We start from the raw sequence: 22,918 nt of genomic DNA on the forward strand, positions 1-22,918 counted from the left end.
AATTTTTAAATTTATCAAAACTTATGCATACAAACACAGATTATATTCACTGTCGAGAGAAATATAAGTATTCAGTATTAAATTCTAACTGCAAAAAGTTAACTGTATTACCTACTGTGCTACTGTAATAATTGCATAGCCACCTCCTGTTGCTGTTGCAGTGAGCTCAAGTGGTACTAGTATCTACTGAAAACAGAATGTGACTCTGATCATCTCAGAAAACTAGTTTTATCTCTCAAGTAAATTGCATATTGCATAAAAAAGTGATTTCTTATGGTTCTTGCATATTTTTCATCATGTTTAGTGCAATATTGTAAATCTTGAATAACACCATGGGACCCATACAAAGCACCACTAGTGATGCTAGGAGAATAAGAGAAAAGTTATGACATTACAAGAAAAATTGAATTTCTTGATATGTACCATAGATTGAGGTCTGTAACTGTGGTTGCCCACTATTTTAAGATAAATAAACCCAGTAATGACCATTGTAGAAAAAGAAAATAACTCATGAAACTGCTACTGTGACAATAGGCACCAAAAAAATCAGTTTTTCACAAAATATTTTTTAATCTCATAGTGAAAATTCAGCTTTTATGTAGATGCAGGATTTCTATAAGGAAAGCACATCTATGGACTCTAATATAATTCAAGAAAATGCAAAGTCATTGTATGACAACTAAAAGCAAAAAGAAGGTGAAGGATCTGAAGTTGAATAATTTAATGTAAGCAAAGAATGGTTTGATGCTTTTAGAAAGAGATTTAGCTTTAAAAAATGTCCAGATAATAGCAGAAGCAGCTTCTGCTGACCAAGAGGCAGCAAACAAGCTTTTGGAGACCATGAAAAAACTCCCTGAAGGAAAGAATATCTGCCTGAACAGGTTTTTAATGTAGATGAAAGTGTCCTATTCTGGAAAAACAAAATGCCATGAAGGATATATATTAGAAAGGAAAGGAAGCAAGCACTTTTTAAGTGCTCTAAGTGATAGGCTAATTCACCAGTATTGCAAATGCAGTTAGGTTTATGATCAGGACTGCCCTTTCTATAAAGCTGCTAATTTCCTAACTTTGAAGGGAAATTATAAACACCAGCTGCCGGTCTTTTGGTTCTGTAAGAAGAAGGCCTAGAGAATGAGAACATTTTTTTCTGGATTGGTTTCATTGGTGTTTTGTCCCCGAAGTCAGAAAGTACCTTGCCAGTAAGGGATTATCTTTTAAAATTCTCCTGATATTGAACAATGAACAATACCCCTGGCCATCCACAACTCCATGAGTTTAACACTGAAGGCATCAAAGTGGTCTGTTCATCCCCAAACATAACGTCTGTAATAAGCCTCTAGATGTAAGAGTCATAAAAATATTTAAAGCTATTACACACAGTACTCTATGGAAAGGATTTCAACATTACAGAAGAGAACCCTGTAGGAAAGGATTGTCGACTTTATGAAAGAGAACCCTGTAGAGAGAACATCGTGAAAGTGTGGAAGGATTACGCTATTGAAGATGCCATCATTTTTATAGAAAAATCCTTGAAAACCATTAAGCTCTAAACAATAAACTCCTGCTGGAGAAAACTGTGTCCATATATTGCACATGTCTTCACAAGTCTTCACAGGATTTATGACAGAGCGAATCAAGGAAATCATGAAAGAGACTGGATGTGGCAAAACAGGTGGAGAGTGAAGAATTTCAAGATATGGATCTTGGAGAAATTTCAGAGCTGATAGACACCACTCCAGAGGAATTACATAAGACAACTTGATGGAGATGAGTGCTTCCAAACCAGTGCCAGACAATGAGGAAGAGGACGTAGAAGCAGTGCCAGAAAACAAATTGACATTAGACAATAATTGATATTATTTTCACAATTTTGCCAGACTGAATGTAGCAGTTAATAGTACAAAACTTGGCAGAAAGTTTCGATTATTCCACACTGCTTTTGGCTTCTTTTACAACATGGATCCTTATATGAGATGAACACTGAAACTAAAGCAAATGGTGGAAGAAAAACTGGTGCTGTATAGGAACATTTTTAGAGAAATAAAAAAGCGAAAAAAATCAGACAGAAATTATGATGCATGTCCCTAAAGTTACACCGAGTGTGCCTGCCTCTCCTGCCTCTCCTTCCACCTCGTCTGCCTCTTCCATCTTGGCCACCCCTTACACAGCAAGACTAACCCCTCTTCTTTCTCCTCCTCAGCCTACTCAACAGGAAGACAACAAGGATGAAGACCTTTATGATGAGACACTTCCACTTCAAAGTTTTTCAGGCTGAAGGGAAAGTAAAGCCATCTTGGTCACCCTTCCTCTTGCTGGCTATGTCCTGCATTCCCGCACATTCAGCAATTTTTTTCCTGACAGTTTTGGCATCTATTAAGTTCTTTGCACATCATCCAGTCCCTTTAGAGTCCGCCTAATCTGAAACTTAAAAAAAAAATTTTTTGCTCATTTTTACTCTATGTCTTCTCTCCTACACAATCACAGATATTATTTAAAAATTGTGCATAAAACTGACCTATCTCTAAAGAATTCTGTTTTCAGTGGAATGTCTGGGGAAAGTGACTTTTATTTCTTAAGAGTTAGGGATTTGGTTTAGTAATTAAATAGGATTTCATGTGTAGCATAATAGTAATCACCTTCTGTGAAGTATGATTCTTCTCTGAAAGATATTTTCCTTGACCACAGAGTGCTTTCTAGAACTCGAAGCCTCTTTATTCAAATAATAGCTCTCAAGGATCCAAGTCTATTATAAGACCACCTTATACTTTTAATTGCTTTCATCATTTCTTTCTCTTTTTCTTCTTCCAATAATCTTATTCTAAGCAAAAATTTCAACCAAAATACAAGGGTTTTTTTTAAAAAAAAGAGGTTATATAATTATTTTCTAATTTCCAAGTTGAACAAAATTTTTATCACTCTTGGTTTATAACTGACTAGTAAAGAAACTCAGACTTTTTAAATATTTGGGTTGCTGATATTGCAGGTTTTCCCCTAAAAATTATATTGAGTGAATAATTAAATCATCATGGAAAACTCCGTTTGTTTCCTACAGCCTTAGAATTAAGACAAAAATATAACATCCATATGACCTGAATACATTCAATAAGTTCAAGTCCCTGATTCTAGGACTTTGAAGACTTGCAGAGAAACATAAATTTAAAAGTTCTCTCCTTTCCTGTATATTTCTCAAAGTCTGCCTACTAGTAGTAAGAATATAGTAAAATTAGAATCCTAATTAAAATGTAACTACATAGCTTAGATGCTGCAATTTTCTGTCTTCTTTATGTTTTAATTTTAGTTAGCTACATTAAGCATAAGTAAGTCATCCTTTTGCTTCTTTGACAGTTATATTTTGTCAGTCTCTGTATGTCAAAGTTATATGTCCAATTGTTTCTTCTACTGCTCTGTTTTTGCCATATTGTATGCAGTAGTTAACAGTATAGAACTTGGTGATAGATTATATTCTTGACTCCTTCTCTGACTTGTGTCTTCAGAGACATAACCTTTCTTTTCTCAGTTTATCTGTCTCTAGAGTAATGGTAGTTATTTCTATTGGCATTCTTTGTTTTCAAGGGAGGTACTAGTGTTTCTATTTTCTAAATGGTTTGCAAGCAAAGGTTTCTGGCTAATAGCATTTTCTGGTCTCCAAATCTGTGGTGCACCATTAATGAATCTGTAATTTTCAAACATTTAGGATGAAGTTTAGAGTCATATAAGAATATGGACTAAGGAGCTCAACATGTCTGAGTGTGAATCTCAGCATGGCTCATTACATTTTACGGGACCATGAATATGTTACTCTATTTGAGCCTCACTTTCTTCCCCTATATATAGTAATAATAACACATGGTAGTTCTTCCTAGAAGGACTATTGTGAAGGCTAGAAATAATACAGGTAACACTGTTAGCACAGTGCCTGGCAGATGGCAGCCACTTAAAACAAATAGGAATTTTATTATTGAAAATGTAATTTTCCTGAATTATACTAATCCTAAATATACTTAAGCAGATTTACTTAACACAAAGTTAATTCTTCTGATTCTGTTAATCATATGGTGTTCAAATTGTTACAGTGCCACAAAGCTGTTATTACTCACAGTGATTATTATTGTGTGACAAAATATACTTTTTTGGCTAATAGAGATTGTTGATTTATACAGTGTGGATTATTTCTTTGTTGGAATCATGAGATAATTTTTCATTATATTAAGTTGCCACCCATCTGCTATGAAGGAGATAATCCTGACTTACTTTGAATATTTTTTCTAGGATTAAGATTAGATTTATACCCTTCTGCATGTAAGTCCCTTCACACTTATTCTGGGACCAATTAAGAGTAGTATATCTGAGTTCTTGGTGGGGAGTGGGGGAGAAAAAACACAGTGAAAGCAAAGAGTCAACACAGGGACCAGACCTACAGCCATGGTGACGTTTGTGGAGCTCTAGCTCAATAGGCTACCTGGACTCAGGCTCATGGAAATAATCCACACTGGGCTCTTTTTGTGACCACAGAGCCTTCTCTTACTGTTTAAGCCCTCGAATATTCTATTATCATTGATTCTAAGTGCAATCAATCTTCCATATACATATGTTATGCATTCATGGATTAACAAACTGAAGATTAAAAATACCCCTGGGAAAAATATTCTGCAATGTTCCAAAAACCAAAACTTGAATTTACCATGCATAGAATACTAGGTTGAATCCAGGTGAATTAAGTGATGTGTAGGCATTGTATTATATATTGTAAGTAATCTAAAGATGATTTAAAGTACATGGAAGGATGTGCATAGATTATATGCAAATACTATGCCATTTTATATAAGGGAGTTGAGCATCCCTGGATTTGGGTACCCATGAGGGTTCAGTAACCAATCCTTCATGGGTGGGGGGAAGCAACTGTATATGTGGTGTTGGGGTGAGATGGGAGTTAGTAAGTTACTACAAATTTTCTCTTATACTGTAGAAATTTAGAACATGTCAACAAATAACGCATCACCATCATAAAATTATCAACATAAGCCCAATGTTGTCACGATATATTGCCATATAACATGTAACTTCTTAAAAATCAAGACCACTAACATTTTTCTCTTGTTTTGCCTTTAATTCAAAGTCTTCAATCTCTGTCATACATAGCATAATGTGTTGCCTCTTCTCATTAATAGAAAAAATAAGAAAACTTCCTAAATCATGGATTCATTAAGTTGATAACCTATGTACTAGGCACAATAACACATAGAGAAATAAACTGGAAATAGATCTTTCTTGGGAAGCTTACATAAAGGGAGATAAGCCAGGTACATCAATAACTATAAATACTGCAATACAAAGATAGAAAGTGCACATTTAGCCAGCAGTTTACTCATTTGCTTAGCAAGTAAGTGTTTTTATTTCTGACTACAGGTCATACTCACTACCTAATTCTGAGATTACAATGAACAGTGACCACAATAATGGCAAATGGAAAGTCTGCCTTTAGTATTTAATTCCTAATTTGTATGTGGTGGGGAGTGAGGAGTGTGGACAAACAATTTAAAAAACTGTGATAATACAGTGTGAAATGTACTAATGGTATTTATGGGAGAGGACAGGGCCCATTGGAACATGAAAAGGTGTATCACAGATTTAAGAGAGCAAGCAAGATTTCTCAGTGTATTTCATCATATTTGTTCCTATTTACCTTGAGATCATAGCCTCTTATTATAGCCCCTAACACATTGCATTGCAATTCCTGCAATGCCTGGTTTACATGCCTGCTACACCCTTACTCTCCCCTCTCTGTGTTTTGTGCCCAATACGTTATAGTAGCTTCATTTATAAAAATAGCTTTTTTTTTTGCTTCCAACAACTTTCTTGCTTTCTCAATTATGCTTATATTCTAGTTTCAAACTAGAGTAAGAAGTACAGTTGCATTGCATTCTCAGTAACTGCTCCTTTTCGTTGACTGTTTTATTTGACTCTAAAAATCTACCTGATGTCATTGTCTTCTATAAAGTTATAGTATTAAAGAACCAACCACATTGCAACCGACTTAAAGAATGTGTTGTAGTTAAATTTCTTATGTATTTCAGAATCACATTTATGCCACATGCTGTATTTTAAGCAAAGATAATTATTTCTATGTTTACGTGTTCCACATTAAATATAAATCAGGTTAGAATATGAAATTTCACAGTCTCTGGCTTTTGACTAATTTCAATATTGGTACATTTTGAGTTCTTGCAATATCTTATTTGAAATAACAAACAAGGAAAAGTTTCATTATAAGCATAGCTCCTATATTTCTTTTCTTCACCTTTCTGTGACACTTTTGGAAATTCTGGGCTTGACCAGGTCTTGTCTTGATTTACCTGTTTCTCTGTATTCCTTTCAAATATCTCTTCTTCTTTTTATTTTTTCAGTTTTAAAAATTTGTACTACAAAAGGTAGGACTTTTTTTTTCTCCTGAGCCCTCCCATGTCTTGGGTTCAAGATCTTTAATGAAGACACCAGAAGAATCACATGTCTAGTTATCTAGTTTACTGCAGTAGCCTAGGCTGACTGGGCATCTCTGTGGAAGAATTAGGCAAATGGCTAAAGGGTGTGACTGGCACAAATGTGACTCCATCTTTTCCACAGAGTCCCCATTCTCATATAAATGGATGAGGTGGTTCGATTCAAGTTATGTATTAAATGTAAAACTCAAGAGTAAATTCTGGTGACAATGTTATACCTAGACAACATGAAGCCTAGGAATCTAGACATGAATATGCCAGAAAGGCAGCAAAGAAAAAGGTGAGAATTTTGTTAGTAAGAAGTTTTAGATGTCTAAGATCTGCTCCAGCTTAAGAATTTGAGAAGATATAGACTTTTTTCAATTTAAGCAGATCCACTAAGACCATTTGGTATAAAACAAAGGAAATGAGACCTGGAATAAATCAAACTGCGTGAGTTTGAGTCCTGGCTCTGCCTCTACAGAGTGACTTTGGGAAGGTTATCTAGTCTCACTGGACATGTTTTATTCATAGTGAAATCTAAATAATAGTAATTACACTTACCTTTCCTGTTTAGCACAAGGATCAAATGAGGTACTAGGTATTAAATACTATGTAAAATCCACCACAGTTTACAAATATCGTTTATTGCTAAGTTAAGGGAGATATGGAGGAATTGAGGAAGATATGGTTCAGAGTTCATTAAATGAAGTATAAATATTTGGATTAATTTCAGAGCAGGGAAATCAATATAATTTATTCCAGTTGGTTCGTACTTTGCATTTCCTAAGCACAGCATATGATAGTTTATCAACTAAAAGCATAATAATATGTGTCTGTCTTCTGTGTATTAATACCAAAGGTAATATTTAGGTTTAATTTTGACTGTTAGTTGTAGGAAAATGCGAAAGAAGAGTAACATAGAAAAGATAAAAGAGTGGTAAAGAAAAAATAAAGGTTTATTTCATTCTCACATAAATGTGGGTAGCTCCTGATCATTAGGAACTAATTTCCTTCTAACTGATTTTTTTTTCTGCCATACTAAATTTTCAATGTCTACCTCAAGATTCAAGATGGCTGCTCCTGCTCCAGCCATCGTGTAAACATTCCAGCTGACAACAAGGAGGAAAATAGAAAAAGAATATTATCCAAAGTTTTACACACTATTCTTGCTTACCTTTCATTGGCAGGAACTTAATCATATGACCTCAGCTAAAACCAAAGTTGGGAAATCCATTCTTTATTCTGGTGCCCCATGTGCCAACATCATATTTGTTACAGTTCTGTTATGAGAACAAGGAAAGAACAAATATTGAGGGAAGCCAGTCATCTCCACAACAACAGTGATTGGTGAACTCCCCTCACTTAATTACCAGTAAGCAAGAGCATGTATATTGAAACAAAATTCCCATTGATATTATTTATAACAGAGTTATTTTCTTTTCACACAACAAATATTTATTGGATAAAACCTACATGTCAGATATTCCACTGGACCTAAAAGAAGGAAACAATTTTCTTCTTAGAAGCTATATTCTGCGAGATAAGAATAAAAATGAGAATTTTCAACAGATAATGTGATGATACAAGACAAAGTGATTTTGAATTCATGGGAGAAAAAAGTAAGTGTTGTATTATTATGAGATGCAATCCTTATTTGCCGTAGTCATGCATTAAATTGCATCCTAGAACCCTGGAAGAATGCATCTTCCTCTCAAAGTGCTTCATTTATTACAAGGGAATATTTCATGCATTGAGAGGCTGTAATTGAGAACTGAATGTGAATCATAATCTGATTTCTCTTTGAAATATACACTTAGTATATTCAAGCTGAATTGAATAAGATAGATAAGTAGGGCTTAGACAAAGACAGATATTATTTATATAATATTAACTTGATTTTAAAGTATTCAGTTATTTATATGGTATTTGGTTCATTTGAATCAAGTAGATTATGTATCAAGGGTTCTCTTCCCTGTGGAATTCTGGCATTAATGCATGTGGTCATAGAGGGAGGACAATTTGTTAGACGTAATTGAATTCTCTTTCTTCTCTCTTTCTTGCTCCAATACTAACTTTGACTACTGCCACGCTTCACCTCTGAAGGCAAAAATGTGTGGAAAAGAAGATAAGTAGGCAAGGCTGGAGGTGGGGTGAGAAGAATAATTTTCATCCACTTTAAATGAAGGGAATAAAATTATAGCTCTCCAGAGAAGACCCAAAAACACATTTCCCTTCCTTCTCCACCCTTCCCCACCCTGTCTTCCTCAACCTTGGCCCAGATCTCTCCTTCTTCCTCTACACAACTTTTATGTTTGTGGGTAAAAATGAAGGGAGTTTCTCAGCTCATCCACATTACTTTAAACTGTATAATTTAAACTCACGACATAAGAATAAAACACTATACTTAAAATATTTGGTAAGATCTATTTTTGACTTAATAGTCTTTCGGATTTTGCTTCTCTTTTCTTGTTGGCACTTTTTTCCTCTTCTGGTTTCAAATGAAAATTTAAATATGATAAGACGAAATGGTATAATGCATGACATTTCATACTGAAGCCAAAGGAGCTTAATAATAAATCCTTGGCTCAACCCAGAAAGACAGATTCAGCTGTCACCATTTCTAAACAAAGTTAGAGGTTATTGTGTAATATACTGCTAATTTTTCATGCTGTGAAAATTAAGTAAAATGGTGTTTGACTTACTTCCTGTTTTCAATCAACTTTATGGTAGTCCCTTTTAGGACTCAGATTTAGAAATGAGGTATAGTAATAAAATTTAGCTACATTCTGGGCTGACAAAAGGAATTGGTAATTTTAGAATGTTTTAAACATATAAAACATAACAGCAATGTAAATTCAAAATTGGAAGTGTTCTTATTATCTTCTTGGCCTTGCTTATTCCAGTAATCCATTCTAAACACAGGTGTATGCCATAATTTCCGGTAGATGTTTTTATACTTACATAACTTTAAAAATGTTCCTGTGAAATGTTTATAACTTGCCTGATGTAGGATTTTCTTACATTGGATACTCAGTATTTTGACCCTGAATTTCTCAATGACAAAAGCTGTAAGGAAACCATGGTAAAGAAAAAGACCTCCTAGAGTTTTTCTGGACTGAGCTATTTTTTTCCAATAGATAAATATCTTCCAAAAATGTATTTATAGTCATTACTTATAAAAGTAATATTACTAGAAATAGTTGGTTTTGCCATCTGTAATTTCGGCCCAATATAGACTAAAGTACCCTGACCATAGTTATTTTTCCCACATGCTGAGAAACTGAGAAACTAACCTGGTAGGGTTCCAAACTTTCAAAGGTAATTGTCTATTAAAACAATAACAGGTAGCTTGAGACGTATCTTCAATCTTGCTTCAGAATAAGGGATTTGCTACAATGTGATTTCAGTATTTCTTAACCAGTGGACTGAAATTTTTATTTGCTTCTCGCAATAGCATGAATTGCTTCCATAGAGCTACTTTGTCTATTCTTATGTTACAAGGAGTGTGTCACAAGAAGTCAAACAGGGAAGGAGATGAAACCATAAAATGGGATGGTGCATTCAAAGAAGAACCAAGAGAAAACCCCAAACAGAAAAACAGCAAAACCAGTATTTCTGTATCGTTGCAGAGGACTGGAATATGTGGTTTCAGAGTTGGAAGGGAGTCTGTGGTATAGGTCATCTGTTTTTCCGATGGTAATGAGCTGGTAAAAATACACGGTCACTTAGCTAACAGAGGCTTCAATGCTTCTTAGCAATTCCACATTATCTAGCTCTTTAATTCTTGGCAAAGAGAATTTCCAGTCTGCTCACAGGTACTCAAACCTCTGATCTCCCTAGGACATCTTTAACTTTTGCATCTGACCCAACTGTTATTCCAAAAAGAATGTAGTAGCCATAACAGACTGAGATTATCTCACCTTCCTACCATAAAATATGCTAATTTATTTACATCAACACCCAGTTTTTCTTCCTTTCTACCTGTTTCAAATCAAGAGGGGACCCTTCTTTTTATTAAATTTCAGTCCTTCTCATGTGCTTTAGATTTCATTTCCATACGACATCTCCAAAACTTGATGCAATCAATTGTCTCTCACTCCTGATTCATCAATTTCTCCATGTGATTCTTCTTTTAGTATTTAGACATGTTTTAATATTTCCCATTGTAAAAAACTCATACCTACATCCTCTTTTGCAGCTTTAATTTTAAGATACTGATAACTACTGCTCATAATTATTGAGAACTTAGTATATGCCAGACATATTCTATGACCTTTCTTTTATCAACTTCTTTAGAGAAAGGTGAGGGGAGCTCACTAGGAGCATGCCTACCTGTGGAGCTTCCATTTCACTTCTGCCAATGGAAGTGGAGCCAGCAGAGGGCTGACTCCCCACAGGAATCTCACTCTTTCCCTGATAATCTGGGAAAGAGTGAGCGATGGCACCAACTAGGATCATGAAAATGGAGAAGTGAGTGGAGTTTCTATATCATTATTAGATGCAATCAAATAGGAATTGGTGATTGACTGGATGTGAGGGAAATACAAGGATGATGTCCAAGTTCCTGGTGGGAATGATAATGTTCTTTCACTGATAGCAAACACAGAAGGAAGAACTTCCTTAAGGAGAAAGGCAGAGTTCATTTTTGGAGATAGTAGGCTTGAAATATCTGAGGTTGGATAGCTCAGAGATAGGCAAATAGGGATTTGAAATATAAGCACAGATGGAATCAACCAATCTCAGGGTTGATTGGTACTTTTTTATAGAAGTCCTTTGAAATCTCCATGAATTGTCACACCTAGAATTCCGTAACAGGTCCAGTGGTGTCATTTAGTGTAATTCAGTTGTAGTGGTTGTTTAAAAAAGGAGGCATTTTTCTCTTAGGTATGTAGAGAGGTCTGAGGACAGGATTAAATGATAGCCTGCCTTCTTCCTGCACCCCACCATGGCAGCATTACTTTGTTTTTGCTTAAAAAAATACATTTTATTGTTCAAAAGTTCATCCTAAATATTAATTATCTGATATCATTTTCATAGCAGGTTCTATAAAGAAGTATATTAGTTCTAATATCATTATAGATTACACACATGAATGCATAGCAGAATGTTCCATGTGTGTTATTCTTTTGAGAACTTTAGGAACTGCCTAAGTCTAGATAAATTACTGTAACGGGTTGAGAATATGTATGAATTGTTATTGTTGTTAATACTTTTGAGATTTGCCAAGAACTAAACACTTTACACTTATTATAAGCAATTTTTATAGTAATCCTACATTGTAGGTATTTTTCATTCCCATCTTACAAATGAAAGATTGAGGGTGTGAAAAGTTTGATAATTTGCACAAGGTCACACATTTGGTAGCTTTAGTTACCAGCAGTCAGTCCATGACTGTCTGAATTGCTTATTCTAAATCCTGGATGCACATTAGAATCACCTGAGGCACCTTAGCAATTCTATGCTTGGGCTTCGCCCTAGACAGATTACATCAGAATCTCAGGGAATAGCACTAATAGATCCATAGTTGTTAGAGCACCCCAGGTGATACCAATGTGCAGCCAACGTTGGGAAATACTAGCTTGACTCAAAAACCTATGATCTTTTTATACCAGGATGCCCCTAAATCAAAAATTGTTTTCATTCCACATTGAAATAGTTCTGTTATACCAACAAGACCATTGATCAAACATGATAAACAGAATAAATAAATGTCTTCTTGATAGGAAAGCATTATCCTCTTCTGCCTTCAAAGTTATACAAGAAATATTTTCAAGGCCTAGGAATCTCAGCATCAGGGCTGCAAGATTTTGTTTGCTTTGCTTGTTGCAAGTTGAAAGCAATTTTATATTTGCATTATTATTATCCTTGGTTTTGAGTGCCTATATATGGTGCTTGCAAGCTGGGAAAGGATATCTAAACACACCTGAGGGCACAAACCTACTGAAAAAGGATTTCCTCTACAGATAAAGAACATAGTGTAAATCAGTTTCTATCTTACAGTTTACAACATGGTTTTTACCCTTTGCTTATTTATTTAAATTGACAGATAAAATTGTATGTATTTATCATGTACAACATGATGTTTTGAAATACATATACATTGTAGAATGGTTACATCTAGCCAATTAACATAGGCATTACCTCACATAGTTATCATTTCTGTGGTGAGAACATTTAACACTTTACTCTGGTCTCTCCAGACATCTAAGAGAAAATGCTTCCTTTTTATGAACAACCACTGTCTTAGCATTTTGAAGTTTCTAAATTATTAGTAAAGCTTTCGTTGAATTCTTGGCCTTATTTAACAAGTGACTTAATTATATTTCATTTTGAATAAAATTGTTATTTTTTTAAGCCTGGAGATAACAGTATATAATGAAGCATCTGCTGTGTATGATGTACAAGTGTTTGAATTCCCACAGCTCACATTTCAAAAAATCAGATTTTCCTGTTATGTGTGACAAACTTTCCAAGATCTTCAAATTATGAACATGTTTTCCACTAGATGACATCTGTGGAACAGATTTTTTTCTCTGCTGACATATATCTAACACTTTCTTTCTTTTTAATAGTGATGCTTTATATGAATATGAAATTATAAAAATTTAGCAAATGATAGTTATTGTTTGAGATACTCACATTTAGAAATTGCTTTTATTGCTCCCTCATTCATCAGTCATTTTGTATCTCACATAACTTTATATTGACAGTTTCTTCTGTTCAGAGTTAGTCTTGTAACAGATATTTTAATTATGTAGAAAATAACCTGCTTCAAAATTTTCACAAATTGAAGGTTGTGTAAAGGGTTGAAGAGATGATGTTTCCTCATCATAACCTTGTGCCATACCTTGTAAGCAAGTACTGTAACTTGTATTTAATGATGAACCAAGAGTTTTCAAGAAAGAACTAAAATCCATCATATCTTTTCTACTGATATTTTCCATAACATCCAAGGGAAAGAAAGCATGGGCCAAGTACTTGGGTCTATGAGAGAGGTTTTTCAGCTGTTTACAAATGACACTGCTGTCAATGTAGCATGTCATAGCAGCTGTGGAAAAAGGGAGGTTAGGTGAAGTGATAATAACAAAAGGCTTCTGATTCTATTTTTATTGCCACCAAATTTTTCATTTAATTTTATGAAATGAACCTTGTCTTCACAATGCCTATTGGTTTTAGTGACTCATTTCATTAGTTGAGGTGCTTTATCCAGGTAACCTCAATTTGCACGTGTTGATGGAGTTTATATAACCAAAAATATATTTGGAAATGGTTTTGGAAATGGTGCATTTCTCTGTTTTAGTTGGTGGTGATTTGAACAATAAAGGCTCATGATTTAATATAATTTTTGTTTATTTATTATAACATCTATTTATTTGTCACACACATACTTTTTATTTGAAAAAGAATAACAGTACTGTTAAAGAATATGGATAGTCATTAGAAAATTAATATTAGAAAATGAGAACCCTTTAAAGCACAAGGCAACATGTTATAGTGGAAAGAGCACATGTGCTTCTTTATTTGCTGAGTGTATAACTTCAGACAAGTTATTTAAACTCTCTGAGCTTCATTTTCTCCTTTGTAAAATATTTCCTCTACAGCATTGCTTCAAAATTAACGTTTAAGCAGAGTAGGTGCTTATAAGTTAGTTTTCTCATCATGTTTTAAGATGCAGTCAAACATCTTCAAATGTGCTTATTTTGCCAAATAAAAACTATCATTTATCAAGCACTTACTATGTGTAAAGTTATGTATTACCTTTGTGCAAATCCCTGTTTTAGCCATTATCTTATTTCATCTTCATAATAATTTATTTTTAGTCTGCAAGAACTGTGGTCTTCTGAATAATGTAAATATGCAGTTATTAGTGCAGCTTTTAAAGAACTGCCTTTGAAATCACTGTGGTCGTCACCAAAATTTCTTTCCATAGCATAATTAATGAGTAAGCAGTTACCGGTGTGTCCAGAATTATATTGTAAATGCCTTGTACATATTTTATTCCATGTGAATAGCAAGATATATGTATTCTTAATTTATTTATTATAGGCAAATCAGGATGTGAATTGATGAAATTATCTAAACAAATAATAATTGCTTTATATGTAGGAATTAGTTTAGTTTGTCTTATATTGTTGAAATGTTACTATAATTGCAAATAATTATTGATTTCTTCATAAATACTGTAATTACAGTGTGCAAATATTGATACTCTTTAAGGGTTTCTAAATAGTATACTGAAGTGCTTCGCTTCAGTATTCTGTTTTTCATTTTTTCTAGCAATAGCACAATTCTCTATATTTTATATCCCATTAATTTTTTTATATAATCTTTCTGTCATAACAAACATGTTCTCTTTTGCTTTTTGAAAAACTTACAAGATGTGTATCTAATACTGCTTATTTTTAAGATGCTAACACCTTTAGCTCATTTATTTGAGTGTTGGAAATAAAGTAAATATAGTATTATGTATATTTTTCTGAAATTATTGAAACCTTGCCAAGCAAAAAGCAGTAAATAGTTATATTTCATACTCTAAGAAACTCATCACTGTAATAATAAAATAATATTTTTTCAAAGTGAAATTAAAGAGTAATGTTTGAAAAATTTAATAAGACAGACTGATGGAAAATAGGAAACATAGACAAGTAACATTAGAAAAGGAAAAATGTATTTCTTAAAAGGTATGAGAGAACATTACACACAATCATATATTGACACATTGAGATATATAAGTGAAGTGGATAATTTCCTAAGAAAACACAAATTTTCAAAATTAATTTAAAAAGTGAATAGCCTGATGAGGGCTTTAATTAGAGAATTCTTGTTATTGTAGAATTTTAGATCTAGGAAAGCCTTTCACAACTGTATAATAAAACTCCCATAATTTGTAAGTGAAAATATTGAGGTCCAAAGTTTTTGTGGCCTGCTGAAAACATCCTATTAATTAGCTTTGGAAATTAGGAGGTCATGGGTGATCCCTGTGGGATAAAAGCTTAGGGGAGATGCTAGACGGCAAGAAGAAAAGAGGAGAGCAGGTAATATAGAAGTTGAAGTGTGGCTTAATCTTTCAAGAAGTTTGACCACAATTGGAGAAAAGAGAGAGAATAAACCAATGAGAACCAGTGAAAACAAACCAGAATACTGGACGGTTGGTTGGTTGGTTGGTTGAACATAGAAACTTAAACAGATTCGTAGGCTAAGAGAGTGAATACATAAGATAACTAAAGGAAGAGAATGTAGAGATACTAAATATGGAATCAAGCGTAGTTACTATTTTTTGATATTAGATGTGAGAATAGTGGTTATCTTTGGGAAGCTTTGGGACTGGCAGGATGGAGATGTTCTAAATTTTTATCTTGATTACAGTTACATAGGTGTATGTATTTATACAAATGAATCAAGTTTTATTATAATATTTATTGTGGATTAAAAAGCATATTTATTTGTAAAAATTTATCACTCTCTCTGCATGGGTGAGTGGGCTTTTGAAAGGTAGCCTTCACAGTACGTACATCAAAGATGAACCAGTATATGAGAGTTTTTTCCCTTTGGGGGAGAATATTAATCTCTGACATTCTGAAAGTAGAGGTGAAGGAGAAAGGAGAGGAGGAGGGTCTTATGGTTTAATACATACACTTGTTCCTGCTTGTACACCTATCCACTAGTGAGATTGGTATCTGACTTCAGAAACCAACCCATTTGATTTCTCCAGAAACTAATCTTCCCTGTGACAATGCTGAGCTGTGTTGGCTAGAGAAGGAAACACAAAGTTTCAGCTATTCTGTACGTCGATTTTTCAACCAACCATTCTTTTTCAGCCCCATATAAAACTGCGTAAGCCTTCTGTTTCTGGTCCCCACATTCAGAAAGTCCACAGAGTGAATAAGCTTTATTACAAACAACATTTCTATTACCCACGCCCTGCCCTGCCACCCTATAAGCAGGTAGGCTATAACTTTCTCTACCACTCTTTGTCAGTTAAACCTTCTTTCCTCAGAATCTTCTGAATTTGTCAACACCTTGAGTTCATGGTGTCTACTGCCTATTATTTTTTCTTTGTGACTTAATAATTTGGTCATTTTAGTGTGGTTTGGGAGGTAGAAGACAAATCGGTAATGTTTAATTAAAAATTTTGGACTACATTTTCCAAATGACATTGTTGCTAATATAGAAAACTTAGATTAGTTTATTGATCTCAGTGTATAGGAAATAAAATTTTATATGTTGATCTTGCATCCAACTAGCCCGTTGATTCTTTTTACTATTTCTAATAGTTTAAAAATTGATTATTTTTGGATTTTCTAATAAGGAGATATATTATCTGCAATGACAACAATGTGTATCTTTATTTTTGTCTTTTCTTGTATTGTTTTCGTGAGAAACTCTTGTACAACTTAGAATAATAGAAGTGATGGTAGACATCTTCCTTTTTTTCATGACTGATGGACATTAATCTAGTATTTTACTATTACAGATGATTTTCAGTACAAGATTTCAAAAGATGATCTTTATTAACCAAGAATGTTCACTTCAATATATAATTTCCAAATAACATTTTTTAAAATTATTATTTGGGTTCTGAATTATATCAAATGCTTTCACGTTTATTAATGTGACCATATGATTTCTCTTCTTTAATCTGTTGATGTAATAAATTATGGGGAGGTCATTTTTGATGTTGAGTCACCCTGCATTACTGGACCCACTCTGATTTGATACTGATTTATTATCCTTTTACTGTATTTCTAGACATAATCTTTTATTTTGTAATTTCACATTTATGTTTGTAAGTGGAAGTGGCTTACAGCTTTCTTGCTCATTTCGATATCAATGTCATGCTAGCCTCTTTAAAAAATGAGTTGGATACTTCTAATCTTTCTCTTTGACCCGGAAATGGTAATGTGAATTTGGATGTTGCTTACATTTGTTAGAATTTGCCTGTTGGTGTATGGAAAATGATACTGAAATGATACTGAAAATGATACTGAATTTCTACTTTTTTTGAAGGACTACTTCTTCCATTATGACTCCATTTTATCTGTTATTAGTTTTATCTCTCATAATTTATGTTTTACTAGAAAAACGTCCATTTTATGTAGCTTGTCAAGGGTGTGTGTATATATATATAATATGTATAACTGTATATATATATATATGTATGTATAACTATTTTCATTCCTAAACTTATTTATTTTGCTTTTTCTCTCACCTTTAAATATCATCACAATGGCCAAGGTTTCGCTGCTTTATTGGTCTTTCAGAGTCAGCTTTGTCTTTATAGATGAATTTTACTGTTCTTCAAATTTTCTGGTTTGTTAATTTCCGATTTTATCTTTTTAAAATCTATTCCTCTTGATTTCTTTAAGTAGCCCACTAATTTTCATCTTTCTCTTGTTTTCTATCTATTTAAGTCTAAAAATATTCTATTATCATAGCAAAATTTCACAAGTTTTCATATATATGCTGCCATAATTGTTATTCAGTTCTAAATAGTTTATAATTTAGAGTTTTAGTTTCTCTTTAATTGATTATTTAAAAGCTTTTTCCTCCAAAAGGTGCAGAATTTTAATTTTGATTTCTAATTTTATTAAATTGTGGTCTGTGAAAATGTCCTGTGTATTATAAACTTCTTGAATTTATTTTATTTCACTTTCTATCCTAAGAGGTTCCATTTGTATATTAAAAATCTAGACATGCTCTGTTTTTTTATGTACAATATTACAAAGAAAGAATGTTAACCACTTTTATTTATTGCATTATAATCATCAATATTATTATTTCCTCCATTTTTGGTTACTTTCTGAGAGCTGTATGTTAGGTTCATCATTATAATTTTAGTTTGACAGTTCATCCTTGCAGTTTTCTCAGTTTTTGCTTCATATACTTTGAAAAATTATTATTGTTTTTATAAAGATGTGTTCCTTCTGTATCTTCTTTGTGCCTTGCTCCTTTTATTAGTATGAAAAGTCCCTCTTCATCTTTTTTATTTTTCTCCCAATACTAACATTGTGACATCTGGTTTTTACATGTTAGTATTTGCATAAGCTAGCTCTTTTCATCTCTGTTCTCTATTTTCCTGTGTCAGTCTTTGGGTTTGAAGTATGTCACATAATTACATTACTGGAATTAGACTTTTTTCATCCAATATGAAAGTTTCTAGCTTTTAACAAGTAAATACAAAGTATTACCATTTATTGTGATTTTTGATGTTTGGAATTAGTTTATTTCCTTACTTTATTTTCTATTTCTCATGTTTTCTAGTTTGTTGTCCTCTTGCTTACCTTTAATTGAACAGATAGATTTTTCTTAGTTCAATTTTTTCTGCTATTTTACAAATGTATTGTTATTATTTTTTGTGGTTACTGAACCATTAACATAAATGTTCAAGCGTATTTTTCTATAATCTAGAATTAATCAGTATCTCATCCCTGAGAACATCTTAAAAAAGAGGTTTAGAATACTTTTATGTTCCTCTACTCCCTTGCAACTCTAATCTCTCCCATCTTTGAACCCTTCCTGATATTATTTTCAATTTTATATCTTCATGGCTATATTTTTAAAATTATATAAATTTATGTAAAATAAACATTTATTTAGACTTATTATTTTCTTTTTTAAACTATTTATGTATTTATTTATTTTTAACTATTATTTTAAGTTCCGGGGGTACATGTGCAGCTTTGTTAGACATGGAGACTTACCACTTTCTTTGCTATCCATCAGTTCTTTTATCTTATTCCCTCCTCTTGGACTTCTTATTGTTAGTGGTTTATATTGTCTAGCAATTCTTTCAAAGAGGATCTTGAGGTAATTAACTTCAAAATTTCTTCCAATTTAAAAAATATCTTTCTTTATGCCTCTCTCTTGAACAGTGGCTTGGCTGGGTGTAGAATTCTATCTTCAAAGTTACTTTCTCTTAGAATGTTGAGAATCTCTTTCTACTGCCTTCTTGTACCCTGGGTTGCTTGCAAAGAACCTGATGTCAATCTGATTCTGATTTCTTCGTCAATATCTTTCTTTTTACTCTGATAGCTTTTAAGATTTTTCTCTTTATTCTCTGTTTTCAAAGATTTCATCAAAGTATATGTGCTTGTGCATGTGTGTATGTGTGTGTGTGTGTGTGTGTGTGTGTGTATCTTTAGTCTCTCCTACGCCGGGAGAATTTTTACAGTGTTTTGAGAAAATTTTCTGTAATATATCTTTAAATGCTACCTTTCCCCCAAATTTCCTGATTTCTGCCTTCTGGAAATACTTTTAAATAGACTTCAGAACTTCTGTGTCATCCATGCATTATGACCTTTCTACTTCCCATGTCTTCATTCCTGCTCCCAATACCTAATTTTGGGCTATGGTACATATTGTCAATTTGTTCTTTATATACTTTTGTTTTCAAGGAATTTCTCACAGTCTCTAGTCCATCACAGTTAACACTTCTTATTTTTTCCTGTTATTTTAAGCAATCTCTTCTATTGTGTCTAGGAATTTGGTGTGAAGGATGTACATGAGAGTGTTAGGTAAAAACAGTGCTCAGTTTGACAACTTAAATCCATTTTCAAGTTTTGAAATGTTTGCCAATAACATTCATCAGCTGTGACACTGATGAGACCAGTTAGGGGTTTGGCAAGGCAGGAAAATCAGAAGAATTGAATGATGAACTTGAAATGCTAGTGAGTCTCACATTTGGAAAGGTGAACTGTGAGGCTTAGCCATAGTGGAAGTCGACACATGGAGACATTTGAATAAAGAAAAACTGTAGGACCAAAGTTCAAAATAGTGAGTCCAGTGATAGTGATAATTGAACAGTTGCCAAGATATGAACCTCGTCATGGAAAAGGAGATTCAGGATTTGAGGCTTGTAAGTGAAAAAACCCTAGTACTGAGGGGATCTAAGGGATGATTGATCACTGGGGGCTTACTGATGTGGATTTGGGTTATGTAAGAAAAGAGATCAAACAATCCTGAGACCTGAACACTAGAAAGGCCAGTTTTATGGAAGCTGATGTGTCATTTGTGGAAAATAATAAAGTTCATTTGAAAATTGCTATTCATAAAAGTTATATTGTAAAGACTTTTGCAACTTAGCCAATATGACATATAAGTAGAAAAATCAGTGTGTGTTTCCTTGTATGGAGTGTTTGATTTTCTTTTAACTTTTAAGTTCAGGGGTACATGTGGATGTTTGTTACGTAGGTAAATGGGTGTTATGGAGTCTGGTTGTACAGATTATTTATCACTTAGGTATTAAGCCTAGTACCAATTAGTTATTTTTCCTGATCTCCTTTCTCCCTCCCTCCACCCTTCGATAGGCCCCAGTGTCTGTTGTTCTCCTCTGTGTGTCCATGTGTTCTCATCATTTAGCTCCCACTTATAAGTGAAAACATGCAATATTTGGTTTTCTGTTCCTTAGTTTGCTAAGAATAATGGCCTCCACCTCCATCCATGTTCCTGCAAAGGATATGATCTCATTCTTTTTTATGGCTGCATAGTATTCCATGTTGCATATGTACCATATTTTCTTTATTCAGTCTATCATTGTTGGGCATTTGGGTTGATTCCGTTTCTTTTCTATTATGAATACTGCTGCCATGAACATACACCTGAATGTGTCTTTATAATAGAAAAATTTATATTCTGTTCGGTATATACCCAGTAATGGGATTGCTGGGTCAAGTGATATTTCTGTCTTTAGGTCTCTGAGGAATCGCCACACTGTCTTCAACAATGGCTGAACCATTTACAATTCCACCAACAGTATATAAACCTTCCTTTTTCTGCACAACCTCAGCAGCATTTGTCACTTTTTGGCTTTTTACTAATAGCCATTCTGACTGATATGAGATGGTATCTCACTCACTATTGTTTTGATCTGCATTTCTCTTAATGGTCAGTGATGTTGAGCATTTTTCATACACTTGTTGGCCGAGTGTTTGATTTTATACTAATTCTTCACATGCTGAAGCAAAGTGTAGCTCCTTTTTTTCTATTTTTCAAGATCATAGTTTTTGCGATGCTCTTTATATATGGTTAGTTTTGCGACTTAAACCTCTTTAGTCCACATGTACACATTCCTTAAGTTGAGATAGCTTACCTCCATACTTGGAGCAATTTAAGGATAAATAGTTTATCCAGCTATTGTAGAATACTATTGTCTGAAGACATAGGCCTTATTTCTTTAGCTACAACACATTTCCCCATAGTCTGTGACCATATTATTGTACGAAGAGGCATGATTATTGAAATAAATGTCAGTGGCTCAAAATTACATGTGCTTCAATTTGTATTAGAATTAAAGTGAATACCAGGGAGATGTGAAGTAATGAACACAATATACAGAAAGTAAATGTTAAAATCTCTGTACTCAGACATTGAACATGTCATTATTTCTTATAAAATTTCAGTACACCAACACTTAGGGTCTAACATTTCAACATATTTACAGTTTGGTATAACTCTTTATTGACAGTTTAAAAATAGAGATGGACTAGCTTTGCTAGTGCATACAATTTAGTTGAAACAAACGTGGAGGAAAATGAAAGGGTAACTAATGACTTAGAAAGGTTATCTAGTCTTTGGATAGCAAGTGGAAGAGTTGTCTTTGGAATTCAAATGGATTGGTGACTATAGATCAAAAATAAGCAAACTAGTCAGCCTGCAGATATTTAAACCGTAAATTGGAAAAAATAAAAGTCTTAATGTGTCAAGAATAGGAGGAATTACAATTGGTTAAAGCTACTGCATTATACCTGAGACTAGAGTATAGGTATGAGGAAGTTTTCAAGTATTCCATGATTTTATCATTTTTATAAGCAGAAACAAGTACTAAATAGGTTTAAGTACTACATGAAACAAAGATTCACATGCTGAAAAATTGTTTTGTTTTACTACTGCTTATAATAATGATGATAATAGTTATATTTGGTTGGGCACTTGCTGTATACCTAGCACAGTGCTACTCAGCTTCTTAACATTATCTGTCATCATTTACACAACCTGGTGGATAAACATGCTGAAGTTCATTTTATAGGATTAGAAGAACTGGCGAACTAAGTCAACATCTGGTGAAATTTAATAAAATTAACAAATCCTATGAATAATTTGGGCCAAAAAATTCTAGTAAGATATTCTGCATTAGCAGTGGATGGTGGTAGAGATGAGAAGATATGGGTTATAGTTTTATTTCTTTGTATTGGTTTTTTTTACAATTTTTAAAATTCTACTGTCTTTGTTTTGCCATTTTCCGTTTTTAAAAATGGTAAGACTGAGAATGACTGACAAAAGAACAAATTAGTCCTGTTGTTGGTTCTGGTTTATAAAGACTTGCATTTCAACAAGATTTATAAAGCAATTATACCAACAGTGAAAAAAGTAGCAACCTTTACCAAAATGAAGCTGCTGATCTTTTGCTGATGAGTCACAACTAATGATAAGCACATTCAAGG

General features: G+C 33.4%; 1 protein-coding gene across 1 annotated transcript in view; it reads left to right on the forward strand.

Annotated features, from left to right (window-relative positions):
• ADGRB3 (adhesion G protein-coupled receptor B3) overlaps nt 1-22,918 on the forward strand; it is a 754,225-nt gene that overhangs the window by 665,960 nt on the left and 65,347 nt on the right. The gene's annotated exons all lie outside the window — the stretch shown is intronic.

Source organism: Homo sapiens, chromosome 6 (assembly GCF_000001405.40).
Source record: "Homo sapiens chromosome 6, GRCh38.p14 Primary Assembly".
NCBI classification, from domain to species: Eukaryota; Metazoa; Chordata; class Mammalia; order Primates; family Hominidae; genus Homo; species Homo sapiens.